Raw genomic sequence first — 23010 nt, forward strand, 5'->3', positions numbered from 1 at the left:
GGCTGCAAGATAATCTGTAGCTTTCTAGTTTCTGCACTAGAAAACAGCATAAAAGGAGGAGGTTGTAACTGACATTGATGACAGAATTTACAATATAGTTCAGTGTTTGAACCACACAAAAATACTTTTGGCAACAAAATGTTTTAGCTGGTAGACAAAACACAGAAATTGTTATTAAAACACCTCCTTCTAAGGAGCCTTTAAAAAATAAGACTTGGGGCTGGGCATGGTTGCTCACTCCTGTAACCCCAGCACTTTGGGAGTTCGAGGAGGGTGGATTGCTTGAGTTCAGGAGTTCGAAACCAGCCTGGGCATCATGGCAAGGGCCCATCTCTACCAAAAATACAAAAGAATAGCTGGGCATGGTGGTGTGCACCTGTGGTCCCAGCTACTTGGGAGGTTGAGATGGGAGGATTGCTTGACCCTGGCAGGGTGGAGGTTGCAGTGAACCGAGATCACACCACTGCCCTCCAGCCTGGGTGATGAGAGTGAGACCTTGTCTCGAAATAAATAAATAAAAATAAAGACTTACCAATTAATTAATAGCAGAACAAATCAAGAAATGATAGTTTATGAAGAAAAATTTTTACATAAATAGAGTCGTAAATGGGTAAGATTTACTCTGGTGTCTGTATTTGCCTATTCCGTTACTGTGTTGAAGTTATAAATACTACAAAAGTATAGAGATAATTTTTAATATTTAACTGACAGTGTATCTCTTTTTACTGAACAAAATGTTGTTGAAATAATATATCCATGTCAATTAATTATTTATTCTTTGGGAAATAGAGGATATACTTCCTAATTAACTTCCAATTTTCATGCATTTGTCTTAAGAACCAGATCTTCAGAGCATAGAATCAGTCAATGTTTACTAGTATCAGGAAAACATACGTTTCTTATTTTCAACATCATAATGGCATTTGCTAAGTGAATGTACTACTATGTAGTAAATTTGCAATGACAAGTCCATAAATATCCTATCTGAGATGCCAACACCTTCTTTTGAGTAAAGACCCCCTGTATAGGTTAAGCTTTGTGGTTTTCTCTGTGCTAGTATTATTCTGACCACAGTTCATTGTCTCATCATCAGCACCATGGCTTAAAGGCACACATCTGTAGCCTGGATATGAGAGAGGCCAATGACCTTAGACAGGAGCTTGACCCTAGAGCTCTGAAGAATAAGGGAACTCCATACTGGATATGGAAAAACTGTCTCAGTACATGACTCTCTAGAAAGTTTCTGAATGTGAGGCACACAGAAAGAAGGCAATAGCAGTAGGAAGAAGTTGAGGCAATAGGACAAAACCATGAAAGAGAGGCTGATAGGAGAATCTTATGCCTTAAAGAAGAGAGCACGAGTTATCCAAATCACTCTCAATTGCTCTAAGGTTTCTGAAGCTTATTATTCATGAGACTGAAAGTGTGGCTGTGGAACATACTTCTATGTACCATTTTAGGATCTCCAAAGGGAAATCCTCACCCACCTCCCCAGAAATCACACTTCTTCTCTGACTGGCTTTGAAATAAATTTAGAAGCAAAACAAGAGAGAAGCCAGTAGAGACCAAAATAACACCATTGCTGAGAAAAGATAAATTGGGAACTGTTGCTTTGAGACAGAGAGAGACAAATGGACCCACTCAGACAGATCCTATTAGGGGTTGAACTGTGTACAGCCTCCAAAACTCATAGGCTGAAGTCCTGACCCTCAGTACCTCAGAATCTGACCTTATTTGGAAACAGGGTTGATGCAGATGTAATTAGTTAAGTTGGGATGAAGTCATACTGGAGTAGGGTGGGCCCCTACTGTGGTATGACTGGGGTCCTTATAAAAAGGAAAAATTTGAACACAGACACATATATAGGAAGAAAGCCATGTGAAGATGAAGGCAGAGCTCTACAAGCCAAGGACACCAGAGATGGTCAGCAAACCACCAGAGAGGCATGGAACAGATTCTCACTCACCAACCTCAGAAAGAACCAACCCCGTGAACACCTAGAGGATCCAGATGAAGCTGTGGTCTAACTTCTGTGAAACTGAAAGGCTGCAGACTCCACTCTGAGCTATTCTCAGAGTGGATGGCTGCCTCTTAATCAAAATGAGTGGAATGTACTAAAAATGGAAGAATTCATCCAGTGGGCCAAATTGTATGCAATGGTGATGGCTGTGTAAGCCTCCCTGCCCAAATATCTTCACTACATCTTTAGGGATTCTTGGGATGTGGCAAGAGGTCTAGCCATTGATCAGGAGATAGGCAACTAAATGATTGGACATTTTTTTTGAGATGGAGTCTCACTCTGTCGCCCAGGCTGGAGTGCGGTGGCGTGATCTCGGCTTACTGCAAGCTCTGCCTCCGAGGTTCATGCCATTCTCCTGCCTCAGCCTCCCGAGTAGCTGAGACTACAGGTGCCCACCACCACGCCCGACTAAATTTTTTGTGTTTTTTGTAGAGACAGGGTTTCACAGTGTTAGCCAGGATGGTCTCGATCTCCTGACCTCGTGATCCTCCCGCCTTGGCCTCCCAAAGTGCTGGGATTACAAGCATGAGCCACTGCGCTCGGCCATGATTGGAATTTTAAGGAATCCCCTGTGTGAGGACAAGGACTATCGCAACAAGTTGTTGCATAGAATGGACAAATCTTTGTCACTCATGTGGATGCTCATGACAAAACCAGCTTTTCAAATGAGAACACAAATGGAATTCCCCAGCCAACGGGGCTTGTGCGCAAGTTGAAATGGCCACCCACAGGTGCATCAGCAAAGTGGTCACGGAAGGTGGCCTCGTGTGCAGCAATCAAATCCAGGAACGTGAATTTTGAAGACACAGAAGCCAAGGATGCTATGCAAACAGTTTTGCAATTCCTGCCAGGGAGCCCAAGCAGTACAATGCACAGAGAATTGGGACATATTATCACAGGCATTGGCCTGGCTTGGGTTTGGCAGATTGATCATATTGGACCTTTAACACCCAGCTGTGGTTTCTGCTGGTGCTTCATGGCAGTTGACACTTACTGTTGATATGAAACTGCCAACCCCTTACAGCATGAGGATGCTGGTGCCACCATAGTCATCTCAGAGAAAGATCTTTACCATATGTTTGAGTCCCCTAGTGGACTCCAATCAGACCAGGGCACTTCCTTTACAGCACAACACATAACAATGGGCACAATCCCATGGCATAGGCTGAACCTATCATGCTCCATACCACCCACACACTAATGGAGCCCTTGAAGAGTGGCATGGAAGACTAAGAGAATTAAAGAAGGGACACCAGAAAGCGTTATTAGCAAGATGCTGTCTGCCTCACTAGGACCATTTGGATGTTCAGTACTTCATTCCTGCGAAAGGGAAGCATGCCCTTCCAACACGTTTTGGAATACCGAGCGTGGCAGGGGTGGAAGACCTGGCAGTTGTCCAGTTAGGAACCTGAGGAACCCCAGTATACACAATCACTCCTTATTTTTTTCCCCTCTGGAATGCTCTTCCTAGGGTGGTTTGTGGTCCTGCAGCAGTTGTACCTGACACAGGCCCCCCAGCTCTGAACCCATAGAAGATGTCTTGGGCTCCTACTTCTAGTGGTTGGCACTGCTGTGATCCATGCTATTCCATGCAGAGGGAATCTCACTTGGGATTGGCAGTTGGGTCTTCCTGTTTGGCATTTTTGTGCAGATTTTAGAGCTAACACTTCGTGGTTTCCTCCTCTCCAGAATTAATTTCCAGCCACTACTGAAGCCTTGAACTTTGACCTCTGCCTCCCAAATTTCAGTAACATTGCTGTTTTCTTCTTAGGCTCTATTCCCAGACTTGGCAAATATTGGAAATTTCTCTTAGGAGGAAATTTGGGTAAATATGGCAGTTACCTCATTTGAGTCCCTTCTTTCAAGGGTCATGTTCCATCTAGTTTTTGTCTGCTTTGCTTGTTCTTCATTCCTTTAAATATTTCCCTTACCCTTACCTTAAAACAACTTGTGTAATTATTATCATCAGGAGGTTTAATCTGACACAAAGTGATAGTTTCATGATTGGAAGTGGCACTCATTGATTAGGATGTAAGTGGTACATTGCACTTGGAGAAATAAGACAGGACTTTAAAATTTGGCATGATAAATTATTTAGTTTCTCAAGTAAATATGAGACATTAAAGTATTTTTGTGTTTGAATTAACTTCAGTTACAGGATTGATGCCATTTTGAACATGCATGAAAAGCTGGAAAGCACATGGCTTGTGGACTTCTGGTTCCTTTGGCAGTAAAGAGCACTTTGAGGACAGCAACCTGTCCCCAGTGTAGAGATGAAATGTACTTGTAAGACATAATGTTAACACTTGAAAGCTGCCTTCCAATCTGCAGCCATTAAGAGTTTGCAATTCTCAGTCTGTTGGAATGCATTTCCAGCTAGTGCCTGCCAAGAAACATGGGTCAGATTCTCAGAAGACTGAGACATTTGGTGCCACCCAGGTGGCTGGAAGTGGAAAGCAATTATCTTATGGGTAGTGCAGGGCCACTGAATATCAAGCTTGTAGAACGCATTCTGGAATTGGAGGTCCATGGGCATTTGAAAAATCAGATGAAAAGATGGCATCCTTTGAAAATTTAGCTTGGCAAAACAAAGGAACAGTAGAAACATGTTCTTTATGTCAATTCCAGAGAAGTAATGCAGGGCTGGGAAGGAAACAGCTTTTGTAAAAGACTTTAGATGACATTTTGATGATTTCAAGCTTTCAGGGATTTTTGTTGTTGTTGTTAACTTGTTTTTCAGTTTCGAAAAATTGGCAAAGGACTCTCAGATGTCCCTTCTGGGAAAGTTGTAGACATTACATAAGGCCCAAAAAAAGTTGCAAGCAAAGCCTTTTTAAAAATCTAAATAGCAGCACACAGTCAGGAGCTTTTTTAATTCTTTTTTTTTTCTAGGTAAGAATAGCTACTGGGTAAAGAAGAAGGAAGACAAATAAGGCTCTAAGTCCTGAGACTTCTTGCACCAATGTTACTTGTAGGTGTAGCTAATCAACTTCTAATACCTAGCACTAAGCCTCATTAGATCTTCCCATCATGAACCAAGAGTGCCCAGTATAAGAATTTAATTAAAATCCTGTTGTGTTTAGAAGCTGTAGGTTGTGGGAATAGCTTTTACTGTAAATCAGATGATACTCATATTCTGTACCTATAGTTTGGAAGGTTTGATAGGTCCAAACACGAGAAAACAAAATTTAACATTTACTCAGATTACTCTTATAGAAAATTGAAAAATTCTTTTATTTCTTTCACATTTCCATATTCCTAGCTTTAAGGATGCTCTTGCTTGACTTGAGATAATTTTAATGAAGGAATTTCACTATGAGGGAGGTCTTCCCTAACCAATCATTTTTCTGGGGCCGGAGATAAGATGAAAAATGTAATACACTATTCCAAAATTTGAGGAACTCACCCTCTAAGCTTGCTGTCTTCTTTTCTGCTCTAGGAATCCTCATGAACTTCACTTGGAATGCAGTCAGCTCTCCATATCTGTGGGGCACTGGTTTCAGGACAACCCGCAGATGCCAAAATCTGCTATGCTCAAGTCCCTTATAAAAATAGCACATTATTATAGTACTGTATTCTCTGCATGTGGGGAAGGAGAACCTTTTTTTGCTATTATTGCCTCCAAATCCATTCCTGTCCCTTCACCCATGTGCACCCAGCCCTCTTTGCCTGCTCTCATTAGTCCTAAGTGATCTCTTTGCCAAGTCTATTCTCTGACCCAGCTCTTTTATATGAAGCATTCCCAAAATGTCTTAATGTTACACTAAGAAGTGGATTTCAGTTCAGTGGATGAAGAAGAGGAGGATAAAAGGTAATTTTAGGGGAAAGGGTGATTTTGGTTCACACTAAAGCAGTACATGGAGGCATCAGGCTCCAGAGATACACAGGGGAAGGACCAGAGAGGACAGTTTAGTTTCCAAGAGATAGCACCGCAACTTTTCTGAGGGCTGACTGTATTTTCTTATTTCCTAGAGATGAGATTTGTCCTACTAAACTTTTATTGGAGGTAAATAATTTCCGTATCATTTAATCTCTGCATTTTACAATATGCATTCACAAAAATACAAATGGATAATGTTCATAGATTTGTTTTTCTATCCTGTATTGGACACTGACTGTCTTATTTGCTATGTTTTTGGGGTACCATGCTGTCCACCAGGCAAAAAAATTCCTGCCATTCCAGACAACAAAAGCTTTTGAAATTGCCTCATAATTTTCTGCCTCTGCACCTTAAGTCATGATGTTTCTTTCTGCTTATATTTTTCCCATCTATCAGCATCCAGCCATTATTCTGCACATGAATATGTGTTCCCCAGAGTCTCTGAGGACATGCAAGTTTCATTATTGTAATGCCTTATTCTAGCCTCCTCTTATTCAACTTTTTCCCCCCATCACAACAAAAAGCGAGAGGAAGGTTTTGGTGTTATTCTTCGTGATTCCCATCCAGTCCTCAGATTTTCTTGTTTATTTATTTATTTATTTATTTTTTCTCTATCACCAAGGCTGGAGTGCAATGGTGTGATCTTGGCTCACCGCAACCTCCGCCTCCTGGGTTCAAGCAATTCTCATGCCTCAGCCTTCCGAGTATCTGGGATTACAGGCCCCTGCCACCATGCCTGGCTAATTTTTGTATTTTTAGTAGAGACAGGTTTTCACCATATTGGCCAGGCTGGTCTTGAACTCCCGACCTCAGGTGATCTGCCTGCCTCGGCCTCCCAAAGTGATTCTTCTTAAGGTCTCTAGACAGCTTGTGACCGGCAATGCCTGTCAGCTAGACAGGTCAAGTTTCCAGTGCATCCGTGCATTTCCAGCATCTGAGTACCAAATACACCTCAACGTACCCTCAACAGGCACACATCCCTGCACAGTACAGTAAAACTAGGATGGGTTCAAATCTCAATGTAACTGTGTATGTTGAGATTTGAACCCATCATTAGATGAACTTGTAGCCAAAACAAACAAAAATGTCAATGAAAGAACAAATATAAATAAAACGCAGAAACTCCTGATGGCTTGGTTTGCTGAACTAACCTGGGTTCTTATAAAAAATATGTGTTCTTTACAGAACTTGATCAGGGCTCTTGATTTTTTTATAATCAAAAAGCCTGTTTATACTTGCATTTTTATTTCATTGGTTTTGTGATGATTTTATATTGAGTATTCTCATATCAATCAATAGATATTGACCTTTGTAATAAGCTGTAGGTGTTTTCAGAAACTTTTTAACACTATTACATTTTCTTCAGGCATTAGAAAGTCAGATTGTTTTTACAATTGTGGAAAATTGTTTGAAACTTCATACATTGATTTTGGTTTATTGCAAGGTAATTATTTGTGGGTTTCAAACCCCAGTATTTAACTACTCCTTCATCTGCAAGCACTGATGTGCTTCCCATTATTGAAGTATAGACTAACTTTAGAAGACAGAGCCAGGAGATCTGAAACAGTGCTACACTGGGGCCATGGTTGCTGTGGGCTTTGCATAGTTGTATTTGAGGTGTGAAGCCCTTTATACAAAATTTTGTGTTTTTAGATGCTACCAATAGCTGCATGCATTGTCTGCATTGTGGGTAAAGTGGGACTGTAGTGCTCATCAAAGGGAGATACATAGGGCTGTGACATAGTTTGGATTTGTGTCCCTCCCCGCCAAGTCTTTTAATTGTAATCCTCAGTGTTGGAAGAGGGGCCTGGTGGAAGATGATTGGATTATGGGAGCAGATTTCCCCCTTGCTGTTCTCATGACAGTGAGTGAGTTCTCATGAGATCTAGTTGTTTAAAAGTATTAGACCTCCTGCTCTCTCTTCCTCCTGCTCCAGCCATGTAAGATGTGCCTCTTTCCTCTTCATCATCTGCCATGATTGTAAGTTTCCTGAGGCCTCCCCAGCCATGCTTCCTGCACATACTTCCTGTACATCCTGCAGAGCTGTGAGTCAATGAAACCCCTTTTCTTTATAAATTAGCCAGTCTCAGATATTTCTTTATAGCAATGCAAATCCAATGCCCCACCTTGATACATGGGTACTATTACACTTCAAGATCAGATTTGGGTGGGGACACAGCCAACCCTTATCATGTGACTAAGATTTGCATTTTCTTACCTAAGGAGGCATGTCACATTCTCTTTCTTCCTTGGAGCTCTTACTCCTTGTTACTAGGGCACAATTATATTCATGGAGGTAAACCATATTTATTTATCTTACACAGGATTCATGAATATCTAATTTTTCTGTATGAATATGAATGTCCTGTAAAATGGTCACTAAAGATCCCCATTTTCTTGTATTCATGCCCTGTGTAAGTATGCTTCACTCAAGTGTGGACTGGACAAGGTGACTTGGTTCTAACCATTAGAATACAGAAGGGATAATGGAATGTCATTTCCTTGATTACAGTATAAAAGAAGCAAGCTGCCAAGTTCGAGAGGCCCACATAGCTTAAAATTGAGGGCAGCTTCTGGACAACAGCCAGCTAGTAACTGAGCCCCTCAGTCCGACAGCCCAAGGGGAACTGAGTAAACTGCCAATACTATGAAGTAAACTTAGAGGCAGACCTTTCCCCAGTCAAACCTTCAGATGGGACAGCAGCCCCCTGAGCCAACTTCATGGGATTGCAAGACCATGAAGCAGAGGACCCAGCTAAGTCATTTCAAAATACCTTACACACAAAATTGCTAATCAAAAAATGTGTGTTGTTTTAATCCACTAATTTTAGGATTATTTATTATACAGTGAAAGATATTGAATACAATGGATGTTGGACGTTGAGGAACGAATGTGACTGGTGAACTTGGGGCCCAAATGTTGGGAATGCACAGGTGCATCTGAAACTTTGCTAATGCTAGTTGACATGTGCTGTAGTTCATGAGATATCTAAAGCCCTTATGAAAGTATTGGATAGGATTCAGGAAGAATGCGACCAACGGATTTCTTCTACTTTTTGGTGTTGTACTGTTGGGAGAGGGGACTGACTAGAGGGAGACTTGGGAATGATATCACAGTAATAAAATACATTTAGATAGGCAACATTAAGTTAATGAAGTATGTTTAGATTCTGGGAACCAGGCTGGTTTTCATTTATTCTTTGGAATATAATGGGGATGCTGCTATAAATGGGCAGTCACCATAATGGTAAAATCTTTGAGTGTTTAGAAAATCATGTAACTCAGAAGCATTAGCATGAGAAGAGGCTATTAAAGCCAGTGCAAATTGCAAAACTATGCTGTTTCAGAAAAAAAAAATCGTAAACTAGTACTTGGCTCTGAATTGAATATTAAATAAGACATTGTAACACCCTGTGGATTTGGCAAAACCAAGTTCCCATGCATTTTTTAGCTTTTACCTGAATCTAAAATTTTTCACCTCACATGAATAAAGCCCACCCAAGGTTCAAGTGAAAAGTGACAGATTTAAAGCACAAGGGATTGTATCCTGGATCTAAAGATCAAAGAGTGGTATAAATTAGATTTTGTAACTACTGTCAACACAAAGGCTTCACATCTTGAGAAAAAGAGACAAGGCATTGAGAGGAAGCAATAATTTTTCACAGAAGCTACAGGAAGTCACTGTCATGCTGAGAATGTGTTGCTCAGCTCTGGAGTGTGCCTCTAGTTCTCTGTTTTAGAAATATTGCACACATTTCATTAAGTGTAAACACATCTCTATTATAAAACTGTCAAGGAGGAGATAAGATAAAAATTTATCATAAACCACAGTAAATTGGGAGAGACACTCTGGTTATAAATAGATTCACTTCAAGATTTGCTTTCTAACAGGGTCTGGGAGGAAGAGTGGGGAAAAACTCTAACAAATTCCTTTCCATGCTTCTTGAAAATAAATTACTTTTTTCCACATTGATTTATTTTTTAAATTGACATAATAAAATTGTATATATTTATTGTGTATAACATGATGTTTTGAAGTATATATATACATTGCGGAATAGTTAAATCTAGCTAATTAAATTCATTACCTCACATAATTATCATTTTTTGTGGGCATAACACTTAACACCCACTGTCTTAGCATTTTTTGAGAATATAATACATTGTCATTAACTACAGTCATTGTGCTGTACAATACACCTCAAACTTATTGCTCCGTAAATATGTATTTGCTGACCAACATCTTCCTAAGCCCTCCTTTCCCCTAGCCACCCCAGCCTCTGGAAACAACCATTCTACTCTCTAATTATGTATGATCAACTTTTTAAGATTCCACATATAAGTGAGATCATGTGGTATTTGTCTTTCTGTGACTGGCTTATTTCACTTAATGTCTTCCAGATTCATCCATGTTGTCACAAATGGGAGAATTTTCTTCCTTTTTAGGGCAGAATAGTATTTCATTGCGTATATATAACACATTTTCTTTTATTTTACGTCAGGAGTTACATGTGCAGGTTTGTTACATAGGTAACTTGTATCATGGGGGTTTGTTGTAAAGATTTATCACTCAGGTGCTAAGCCTACTACCTAATAATTATTTTTTCTGCTCGTCTCTCTCCTCCTACACTTCACCCTGAAGTAGGCCCTGGGTCTGTTGTTCTCTTCTTTGTGTTCATGAGTTCTCATCATTTAGCTCCCACTTATGAGTGAAAACATACATATATACCACATTTTCTTTATCCACTCATCGGTTGATAGACACTTAGGTTGCTTTCATATCTTGGCCTTTGTGAATAGAGCCGTAATGAACATGGGAATGAAGATATCTCTTAAAAAAGGAATTGCAAATGGCATTCATTTATGAACCAAATAGTTGTTAATACTACCCATTACTAATTTTTAAAAATGGGTGTTTTGATGTCTCCTAGCTTCTTTACTTATACTTGCACATTTGGCTTTGGGATATTCATAGGGCAAAATTCATTCTAACAAAGAAGAATTTTAAAATGTGTCAACCCTTTATCTGAACTCTAAAGAAGTAATATTTATCCTAATTGAGAAAACATTTTGGAACATGTACAAAAAACATGTTTTTGTACCTTCCCTCAACCTCTCATTTATGTAAGTTAGATAGATCCCTCACTTCAAGCTGATTATCTGGAGCATATGGTACTGGGAAAACAGATAAGTGTAGGCTTATCTTTTTGATGGCCATGTATCCATCAAAATGTAACTATACTGCCAATCATTCTTTAGGTTTTAGGTAAAAACATAAATAAATCCTGTCCATTTTTATAGAACCTCAGAGTTTACTGGATGTTTTTGTAATCTAGCAAGGAGGGGCTTGGTAATTAATATCATATTTACATTTTATATCAATTTTCATTTGTTGTGTGCACAAATATGTTTAGGTTAACTGTTCTATAAACTGTGTATGATCCTCATTTCATTCGGTGGTTTTATTCTGAATTGTGGTGGGCCATTCTGAATTATGTTTTTAGAAAGTATCAATTTGATAAACATCTTAAAATATTATTATAAATAGATTAGTAACTTCAAGGTTGATGTAAATAGATCACTCAATTTTGACTGAATAAATGTGGAATGAATTAACACTGCTGGAGGTAGAAAGACTCAGTTTTGCATGGTCTTGCCTTTGATCTAGTTCTCAAATTTCCTCCTGGCACAGAATATTTATAGTGAGCCTTCTGGAATTGCCACTTGATAACCAGCAACATGTTGTAAGATGTTGTTATAGCTACAACATCTCCCACTTCTTTTCGATAATTTGCTTCAGCTTAAACTTGGCTCTGTCTTACTGCCATTCAGGAAGTGTCTGTTTATGCATTCAACCTCGCTTACCTCACGGTTGAGGGGTGGGCTACCTATCCTCTTTGCTCTCCATTGCAGAGTAGTATATCACCATCTCTAAAAACAAAAACTACTCATTTGAGACCCATGGCATTTATTTATTCTACCCTTGCCCCTCCTCAAAGCTGCCCTCGAATGACCACCTATTCACCATCCGTCATTCATCAAAGACATTGACATTTGTCTCGTCACCTTCCTCTCTACTCTAACCTTGCTATCCTCTTGGGTATCCTCAGTCCTCCAACGACTGCATGAACAACCCAGTGAATACCATGGCTTTCTGGTTTCCAGCCCCCACTCTTCCAGTTTCCTTCTCCTCCGTACCCCTTCAACCACCCACTCCCACAAGAACATTTTGGAAATATATCATCACCAAAAACCATCCCACCGACAGAATTAATAATTCAAGCATCTTTCCCTCTCACCATAGCCCCCTCTACTTTCAGATTATTAATCTACCCCTGTAGACCATCTTTGATCATTTTCACAATGTCTGGTGTTTTAATCTTCAACTTTCTCCCAAACTGTTGGCTTTTCCCTTTCTTCCCTTTCACTCTTTTTTATTTTATTTTAATTTATTTTAATTATTTTAATTTTTTAATTTTTTATTTTTTCCCTTTCACTCTTAATAGCTCAAAATATATAATTCATTATTTCCGTGATACTGCCTCAAATGCCAAACTCTCTTGCTTCTCTGTTTTTTCTTTTTTTTACCCATATGATAACACTTAAGATAAACTAAGCCATTTTCTAACTCCATGCCTTCATTCAAGCAGCCAAGAGATACATGATAAAGTCACACCAATAGCAGATTCACTCCCACACATTTATTTTTTAAATTATTTATTTTTATTTTTTAGAGACAGCCTTCTTCTGTCATCTAGGCTGGAGTGCAGTGGTGCTATCATAGCTCACTGCAACCTTTGAAATCCTGGCCTCAAGTGATCCTCTCACCTTGGCTCCCCCAAAGTGCTGGGATTATACGTGTGAGTCACTGTGCCCCACCAGCCTATTCCTGCAAATTTTCACTGCTCCATATTTAGATCTAATCATCCACTCTGATATTTTCCACAAATGATATCTCTCTTTAAAACAACTGTTGTGAACTCTATCACTTGCATAAATAGGGAATACAATGGCTATACCGTGTAAAGGATATTGATACCATAAACACTCAGGTGCCCACCAATCACTATAAGAAATAGAAAATTACGTGACACAGTGGCTTTTCAAATATTTCCTGCTCTCCTTCATTTTCTGACTTCCTTATCACACCCACACACAGTAGATATCATCAGAGTGCAGCTCCCATTTTCCAGGTTCCAAATCTACAGACCTGGCACCATAGGCATCTACTCATCCTCCTTCCTCCAGTTTCTATAAACATGTTCATTTTTAAGGTCATTTTATAAGCAATCCCTTAGAGAACTCTCTTAGATTTTACACACGCTCATATTTTTTCTTTTTAAAAATACCATTCCAGGCCAGGCACGGTGGCTCATGCCTATAATCCTAGGACTTTGGGAGGCCGAGGTGGGCGGATCTCTTGAGGTCAGGGGTTCAAGATCAGTCTGGCCAACATGGTGAAACCCTGTCTCTACTAAAAATACAAAAATTAACCGGGTGTGGTGGCGCATGTCTGTAGTCCCAGCTACCTGGGAGGCTGAGGCAGGAGAATGGCTTGAACCCAGGAGACGGAGTTTACAGTGAGCCAGGATCGTGCCACTGCACTCCAGCCTGGGCGACAGAGCAAGACTGTCTCAAAAAAAAAAAAAAAAAAAATTCCTTGAACCAACATGCCCTTCAGGTACCAATCCATTTCTTGCTTTCTTTCCGCAGTCCAATTTCTCAAGCGTTGCCAGTACTCGCTATCTTAGTTTTTCCCACCCACTACTCATTACTTAACCCACACTGGTCTGGCTTCTGTACCCATAACTCCTCAAACAGCTCTTACGCATTCAACCTGTGGCCTCCAAGTGGTTTTGTCTGGTAAAACATTTTTAAAAATCATCCTTTGTGTCCTTGGAGTAGAAAGGAAGACTTCAGTATGTGTTTTGTCCGTCATTTTCATGGAAGTTTTTTCTGCATCTTTTTTTTTTTTTTTTTGCTGCATTCTATAATATATTTTGGGTAAGGGGCCTTCCTGTATTAGGTGGGTGACTCTACAGATCTTTGGACTATATAACTCCACTGTAACTTGTGTGTTCTTTCTTACATCATGAGGTCTCAGCTTAAGGGCAACCACTCTACACTCTGTGCAGGGGTCTTCTGGGCTCCTGAATACCCTCACTTTGCTGCCTGCCAATTACTCCCTGGTGTTCCTGCCACCCTCTGCTGCCGTGTCTTTCAGGAAGTCTATTGCGTGAGGCTGCAACTGGCTGTGAAATCTAGTGAATAATATCCTGAGACAGCTGAGCCCATTAAATAACTCTTAAAAATGTACTCCAGGTTTGTTCTGATAGTTAGCTGGCATTATCCCCCGGCCCATGTATTAGGGCACTCACCCACACTAAGTTCTGATCTTACATTTTCTCCCCTCCTCTCCACTCCACTCTGCTTAGTGAGAAATTCTTGACGAGATCTTGAGCCATCAGCTCAGTCCAAGAAAACTTCAATTTGCTAGCCTGAATCTCTGTTTCTAGCCCTTAATTTTTTACTTGAAGCCATTCTAAGATTTTAATAGGGTAACATGTTTCCTTAACTCATGGGGGATGAGGGGGGCCTCTCCGCATGTCTAAATTACCGAGAGTGATAAACATTTCAGTCCCTGTGATGCCATCTGCTTTCTGCTCTCCAGAAGTTGTTTCTAATTTGTTTTTTGGTACTCTCATTTTGTTTCCCGACAATGCTCCAGAAGTTTTCTTTGTTTTTATGTTTTTGGATTTCTGTATTATGGAGAGGGATGGGGTGCTAAAAAGTTTCTCACTTTGCCATCTTAAAACTGAAAAGCTACCTTCTCTGATGGGTTCTGTGAGTTGTATAAATGTATCATTTGAATCCAGTGGTTTGAGAAATATGATCTCATCCAAGCAGCCCAAACTCAAAGCCTGGTCCACTTTCTGCCCATACGACAGGGGCGAGTGACTGCAACACACACCCCAGCTGTCTCACATGTAGCATGGAAATTGATCATTGTTCAGAGTAAATGAAGTCCTATTTTCAAAGTCACTTAGCACACTGCCTGAGACATTGTGGGTGCAGGCTGGAAGGAGGTTTTACTGGACAATTTGAATACAGTCATGCAGTGGGGAAGTTCACCCATATCTTTTCTCCTATGCTGCTCAGAATGAAGAGGTTGGTGTCTCCACTTCCTAGAGTGTTTTGTGGGTCAAGGTTTGCTCCTATGGAGGGCTTCCAGTCCTGCCATTTGGTCCAGTCCATGTGTCTCTAAACCTGGGGAATCTTTATCAGGTCAAAGCTAGAATTTTCCTTTTTTTTTTTTTTTTCCTGGTACCAGGTAGCTGTCAGCAGCACAGGTTTACATGTTCCTAGTACCTTTTGTTATTTGGTACTCTCATCTTGTTTTCCAGCAGTGCTTCAGAGGTTTTCCCTGTTTTTCTATGTTTGCATTTCTGTATTATGAAAAAGGATAGAATGCTAAAAAAATTTCAATTTTTCTCAATTTCTAGTTCCAATAGAAATAAATTTACTTATTCCCCCAAATTTCCCATGCCAAGAGATTTAAAATTGAGTACCTTTCTTAAAAAGAGAAAAATGTCTAGGATGGATGGAGTATACTGGAAGGCCGAGGTGGATCAGCTAGGCCTGGACCTCACAGATGGTCCCATCTGAGCCACAGAAACTATGATTGGGACAGGTGTTTTTTTCCCAAGGAAAATCAGAAGGGTGAATGAATGCTTGGCAGGAAAAAACAACAGGCATCCATTACATGCACTATCTTCCTTTTCTGTTTGTGGTGGCCATCTGAAGTCAGGGGGAGCACTAGGGACCCTCATTAGCGTCTTTGAATGCCCTCCTTACAAGAACGTGATGCCAGTCCATGCCACGTGAAAGCTGAGGTCAAACGTTGTGGACAGATGTCCTGTGTGCACTGTCCTGGTGCAGCTGCCAAAATCCTTTGATTTATCCCAAGCCAACTGTCTAGTTATTTTCCTTACTGGCCATTCGCTACTCACTGGGGGGTTTCCCAGGGATGTTCCATCTATTTTCTTCTATTTACTTTCTGTGTTAAATCTCTTATTTTCCTCCATCTGACATAACTTACACAACATCATTACTGACTTATTAATGCCACTTTTCTGATTCTTAGTGCTAATGACTTTCTTCTTTTTATATTTTTTGGTCAATTCTATGGATTCTGAGAGAAAGCAAATTTAAATATGCAAAATTGAATTGCCATGTTATATTTAAACTCACACTTAAAACCTGTAATCATCTTCACTTTGTGTTCAGTATTTCTTCATACTCTGTTTTGCCATTTTATGCCATATGCTCTGATCAGCACACATATACTCAGATTGCTAAGTACCAGTCATGACTATTCTAATTTATTTGAACCAAGGGGCATTGAGAAAAGACCATGAATGATGCTCCCAAACCATCACGATCCTTGTAAGAATCCTTAAGGCAATAACTTTCAATGTGAAGTTGATTCTAACTTGCCTAGTTGTTCAATAAATATTAAATGGTAATGATTCCAAAGAAACCATGTTGTTGGTAATCTCATCCTATTTAATATTGTATCTCTGCAATCATGTATGAGTAAATTCTTCAAAAATCAAATTTAGTATTTTCATAATATTGCTGAAATTATAAACCACTGTGTTATTGTGTCTTTCCACTTAGTTTCATTTTTCAACAATAGCACACTAAAATGAAATATCATTCTGAAATAACTAAAAAAAGGTAGCAATAATTATTGTTTGTTCCTTTGGAAAAAATATTTTTAGAAGGTGAGATAACTTAGGTTTGAAGTTTTCCTCCGAATGTTTACAAGAGGGAACATGGGGTCCGAACTGTTGTAGACAATAGACAAATAGGTTTCTCGGCGGCCAGAATCTGATTACGGTGAAAACAGAACCTTACTGTGGGAACTGGAGAGAGCAGTGCCTCTTGAACTTAAGCAAGTGAGTGTATTTTAGCCCAAGATAAACAAAGTCATTGCAGGGTTTTGACCTGAAAATGAGGTTAGAGATAATACTATAATATTTCAGTTGTACAAATCAAGACATAAACATGTTCCATCCTCTGCAGTTGCATGAAGCAATATATGTGCTTGTTCAAACAACAGACCAACCTGCCTGGGTTGGAATCCCGGCTCTGCTTTTACAAACTGTGTATAATAGATAACATTGATACCTGCCTTGATCTCCTTTTCTGGGTCAGTGCACGCATCTCCAGCTGCAATGAATTTTGTTTGCTCTTGGCTCTTAGCCGCTCTCTTCCAATAATTGCCTTGGGCCAAATCGGAGCCATCTCATCATCCCCCATGATGGCAAGCGACCATTGACTAAGTGACATGCAGGGTACAAAGACCAGCACACGGGCCTTAAGTGACACCAACTCTGTGTCGCAATCCACTCTCCAGAGCTCCAGGCTGAATCTGTTCTCCATCCTAGACCATTCCTTGCTTAGTTTTTTCCTCCTTATCTGCCTTGCTTCCTTTACTCTCCTTCTCTGAGAGTGTTCCGTCAGTAAATCACTTTCATAAGAATCCTTACATTAGGAGCTGCTTCCAGGGCACCCAAACTAAGCCAGTTGGTTCTGCAATTGTTCCTAGGAAGTAGACACAGGCAGGATGGGATTCCAGAGGTTAATCACTTGTCTCTTCAAAGGCAAGTAGGAGCCTATTACTGGTGGCAGCTGGAGTATTGATAGTTACTGGCATGCTCTAGGAGGTTACAACTTTATCTATGTTGAGATAGCACAGGGGAACAGTAACTATCAGGGCTATGAAACTGAGTGGCCATTGATAAGGACTAATAATGCATTGAGGAGAGAAACAAAAAGGCTCAGTTCTATTAAAAATAAATTAAAAACAAAGTGTGAAAGTCAGAGAATCTTCTTGGTAGCATTTAAAGGGATATTTGTCTTTTGCAGCCAGAGGACAGCAATACTAAAAACAAGACTCAGGAGTTAACTTTAAAAATGAAAGAACATCAAAGAAGGCTGAATTCTTAGCCCAAACAAGTCTTTTATGTTGAAGTTCGGGTCCTGGTATAGAAGAAGTGGGACTCTGAGACATGGAATGGGGACATATATGTAGACACTGAGAAGTGTCCCACTCTCTTTGTTGAAAGGTGGAAGTGGCCCCTTCTACTTGTTCAAAGACTATGCAGAGGCCTTAAATGAATCAGGTGCACTATAAGAAAATGCTTGCCTTCCCCAGGATTTGCAACCACTTGGACACTAGACTCATTAATAGGGCAAGAGTTCAGCATAACCAGAATAACTCTACTGGAGATCTGGTCCTGCTGAAGAGAGGGATCATATATCAAAGGAAATGCAGGACGTGATTCATGTGTGCAAGTAGGAGAGTGTGGAAGTGAATCATCCGCATGCCGGATCAAGGACAGTCAAATAAAAGCTGGAGAAAGAAGAGATTATCAATATGAGATCCCTTTTCTGTGACACAAGATTAAACACCATGGCAATGGCTCTGAGTGACAGGTTTAGTAAGCTGCTAGGAAGGTTCCTGGAAGCATGAAAAAAGTGATGATGCATATTAAACAAAGTGAAGATGCTATAACTTCCATGGAAGTCTATAGAGAAAATATTTCAAGGACCCAGGGGATTTGGCATGCCAGAATGTATTTACTGTATAAAACTGGGAAACCCACTAATGTGTACATTCCTTGGGAGGGCTTAGAGGACACTTTATCAAAGCAGTAGGAATGAGCTGGTGAGGAAGGTGTCAGTATTGTTGAGAAGCCCAGTGGTGCTGTCCTTTATGGGCAGGGTTGACAGTAGGAGATGCTGTAATTGTGCCTCCCAGGAGCAATGTGGATGATAGGATTTTAGAATAGCAGAGGCCAACAGACAGCACTTAACCAATGGAAATTAGAAGGGCATAATTAGCATAATGCAAAGCAACTTGGGATGACAGTCAGGGGAACCTGATCCACAGGGATTTACGGTGATGGCTAATAGAACATGATGTCCATAAGAATGGGAAAGATGGGAACTCAGTGACAATATTATTAATATACATACCCTAAGAAATCAAGAACAGACAAGCAGAAAACAAGAAGCTGACCCAACAGGAAGTCTCCTGATCTTGCCCAGTTTCCAGACCGAAGTCATTTCTCAGTTACAGCATCTACAGACAGAGAGTCCAGAGCCCCATGAAGAAAGACTCTACCACAGTGTGTACGGTAATTCTCCCTCCGACCTTCCTTAAAGGGACCTCCAGAAATTACTCAGGTAACCACATATTAAGGAAAGGGGAAGACCCAGATCTTTTGAGGGCTTTTCAACACAGAGCCTGATTTGATGCTGGTACTTGGAAACCCCAAGAGCCATGATGCCCCCTGCTCCTGTTAGAGTAGGTGTATGTGTGAGGATCAGGTAATAACTGAAGTTCTGACTCAGGTCTGTCTTAAACTGGGTCCACTGGGGCCCTGTAGGTACCTGGAGGTCATTTCCCTGATTTCCAAATGTGTAACTGCAATGACATATGAGTTGCAGCCATATTCCTAAGTGAGGAATATACTGCTTCCAGATCTTGAAGACAATTACCAAGCACTGGGCTTTCTTTTTAGTAAATAAAGATTTAAACATGATGTTTAAAAATACTGAGAAGACCAAGTCCCAGTAAAATCCAGATCTCTAGGTCCCTGAAAAAATATGGTGATCCTTGAGTTTTACAGGGTTTATCTCCCACCCTTTGGGGTGCATATTTCTTACCAAAGCCTCCAATCTATTTGCTACCTCTTGCTCGTGTGTATGGATCACCATGATGGTGCTGATTTGGTGGATTAATGTGATGTTCTGTGGAATGTCCAACTGGTCTCATTCCCTTGTACTATGGGATGACAGAGGGTAGGGCAATTAATGCAGCCCTGGGGACAGACTTTAAGTGAACGTAATGTGCCTCTGATCCTTCTTCCAGCTAGAAATGAAAGAGAACGCAGGTTTACCAGCACACTCCTGGACAGGACACTTGGTCAGCACCAATACTTGCAATCCCTCCCTCATTCCAACCTCTAACCACTGCCTCCTATCCTGATAATATCCTGCTTTCTATTAATTACTTGACCTACAATCTATTTATGTGACTAACGTTTCACGATTTCTCTCCATTTGCATGTCATCACTTCATTCCTTGCCCAGCTTAAATGGTTTCAGCATTATATCAGTCCTTGCATATACCCTTGATATCCTTGTCTTTCTTCTAACTCTGCCTTCTGCACACCTGCTTTATGCACCAGAACATGACTCTAGAGAATCATGGAACATGTTGAAATTCTCACTTTAAATTCATAATCACTAATCCCAAGCTGGACCTTAGTGCTGCCCAGAAATCCTACCACCTTCAATTGTATTAATATTTTCACTCTCCTTATCCTCTTCCTCCAAATTTATAGCACTTTCCCCCTTCTTATTCTCCTTTTTTCACTTCACTGAGAAAAAAAAAAGCTAGCAGAAGAGAATTCTGTCATCTCCCATCCACACATCTACTCACTTACTGGATCTGGATCCTATACCAGATTCCATCCCCTTTCATTACCGCAAGATGTTATGTAAGCCTCCCTTCTCTTCTGCTTCATCATTCCAGTCTTCTTTCTTCTAGACCATTCTTTTTGTTGTTGTTGTTGTTGTTGTTGTTTTTGTTGTTGTTTTTTTTTGTTGAGACGGGGTCTCACTCTGTTGCCCAGGCTGGAGTACAGTGGTGTGATCTCGGCTCACTGCAACCTCTGCCTCCCAGGTTCAAGTGATTCTCCTGCCTCAGCCTCCTATCTGGGATTATAGGCGTGTGCCACCATGCCTGGCTAATTTTTGTATTTTTAGTAGAGACGGGGTTTCACCATGTTGGTCAACTCCTGACCTCATGATCTGCCTGCCTCAGCCTCCCAAAGTGCTGGGATTACAGGTGTTAGCCACCATGCCAGGCTAGACCATTCTTATTATCATACAGTCAAACATGCTGTAATTTCTCTCACTTTAAATAAAACTCTTTCTTGAACATGCAAATCCCTTCCAGCACCAATGCCTTTTCTCTGTGCCCCTTTACAGAAAAGAATCATTGAAATAGCTGTCTGTATTGTTTTCCTATCTTCTGTTCCCATGCTCTTTTGATCTCACTTCCAGGATTCCGCACTGCAATCCATCAACATTGCTCTTGTTAAGGTTACTGATGACCTTTCTATTATTGCTCAATCCATTCATCCATTTTCAGCGGATCAGTTAATCCATTTTCATCACCTCACTTGCTCTATCACTAGCATTTGACATAACGAAACACTGACTCTTTACTTTTGTTTCCAGGACAGGGAGGTTCAACTATTATTCCTTTCATACTCATTACATTTTGGAAAACTATATGCCCTCTCACACATTCATTTTGCTGTCATTTAATTGGTCATAGTATTTTATTTTTTTTTTTTTGAGACGGAGTCTTGCTCTGTTGCCAGGCTGGAGTGCAGTGGTGTGATCTCGGCTCACTGCAATCTCTGACTCCCTGGTTCAAGTGATTCTCTTGCCTTGGCCTCCTGAGTAGCTGGGATTACAAGCATGTGCCACCATGCCCAGCTAATTTTTGTATTTTTAGTAGAGACGGGGTTTCACCATGTTGGCCAGAATGGTCTCGATGTCCTGACCTCATGATCCTCCCACCTTGGCCTCCCAAAGTGCTGGGATTACCAGCATGAGCCACTGTGCCCGACGGGTTATAGTATTTTTTAAAACACTTCTAAATTTGAAATTATTTCGCACTCAAAGAAGAGTGGCCAAGATAGTACTGAGAATACTGATGAACATTTTCCCCAGCTTCCCCTCACGTGAACATATTATATAACCATCGTCCATTTGTCAAAACTAAAAAATTCACATTGGTACAAAACTGCACTTTATTCTGATTTCACCAGTTTTTTTCACTGATGTCCTTTTTTCTGTCCCAGGATTTAATCTAGGACCTACAATTTTGCATTTAGTCATCATGCCTCCTTAGTCTCTTCCAATGTGTGACAGTTTCTCAGTCTCCTTGTTTTTCATGACTTTGACACTTTTGAAGAATGCTACTCAGGTATTTTATAAGATACCCCTCAATTTGGGTTAATCCAAAATTTTCTTATGATTGGGCTGGTGTTATGGAGTTTGGGGAAAAGTTCTACCATAGAGGAAAATAGTGTTTCTGATTCCAGCATACACAATGTGTGTAAAGAGTGTATACAATGTTAGCATGACTTATTACTGGTGATATTAACCCTGGTCACTTGGTTAAGGCGTTTCTGCCAGATTTCTCCACTATAAAGGCAGCACTTTCTCCTGTTCACACTCTATTCATTAGGAGCAAGTTATTAAATCCTACCCTCACCCAGGAAGAAGGAATTAGACTTCCTCTCTTGAAGGGAGGAGTCTCAAGGAATTTAATCCACTGTAGTTAATTCAGACTATGGGGAGTTTCTTGGATGTTATACAAATATACTGTTTCTTCTTAAGTCTTTGGCCACTAATTTCAGCATTCATCAGTAGATCACACCTGCAATAATCATTATTCTGCTGCCTTCACGACCTTTCATACATTTTTAAGTTGACATCGAAAATTTTCTTCTTAAGTTTAAATCTTTGTATATTCGTATACTACCTGAATTTCAGCACTGTGTGTGTGTGTGTGTGTGTGTTTGTGCGTGTGTGTTTCCCTCAGAATCTTAGAGTTGCATATTTATACATATCTAATGTATGGAAAAATATCTGCCATATAATCTAACTGGCAAAACCAGTCTTCACAGTAAAAATCAACCATGCAGGGAAGCATATTTTTTCTGTCAGAAAAAAAAACTGGCTTCATTTTAATTAAGATAAACATTTTAATACACATCTCTGTCACAAACTTCTCACCTCCAAATTCTAATGCATGGAAAGACAGACAGATGTATAGCCATAGCACAAAACCTTCTCATGAATTCGTTCCCTGGATATACTAAGGTGCTGTCTTTTTCCCTTTTACTCTTTTTTTTTTTTTTTTTTTGGCATTCATCACAATGCCTTTAATTTTACTTATTTTTTTTAAATTATCTTTTGAAGTTTTTGTGAGTACATAGTAGGTATATATATT

At 40.1% G+C, this 23010-nt stretch overlaps 1 long non-coding RNA gene across 1 annotated transcript in view; it reads left to right on the forward strand.

The window, feature by feature from the left end:
- The first annotated feature begins 19042 nt into the window (after positions 1-19042).
- Positions 19043-23010, forward strand: part of LOC105371874 (uncharacterized) — a 56293-nt gene continuing 52325 nt past the window's right edge. Inside the window, exon 1 of the long non-coding RNA XR_001752986.3 lies at positions 19043-19157. This is a non-coding gene — a long non-coding RNA (uncharacterized LOC105371874). The remainder of the gene's footprint in view (positions 19158-23010) is intronic.

Source organism: Homo sapiens, chromosome 17 (assembly GCF_000001405.40).
Source record: "Homo sapiens chromosome 17, GRCh38.p14 Primary Assembly".
NCBI classification, from domain to species: Eukaryota; Metazoa; Chordata; class Mammalia; order Primates; family Hominidae; genus Homo; species Homo sapiens.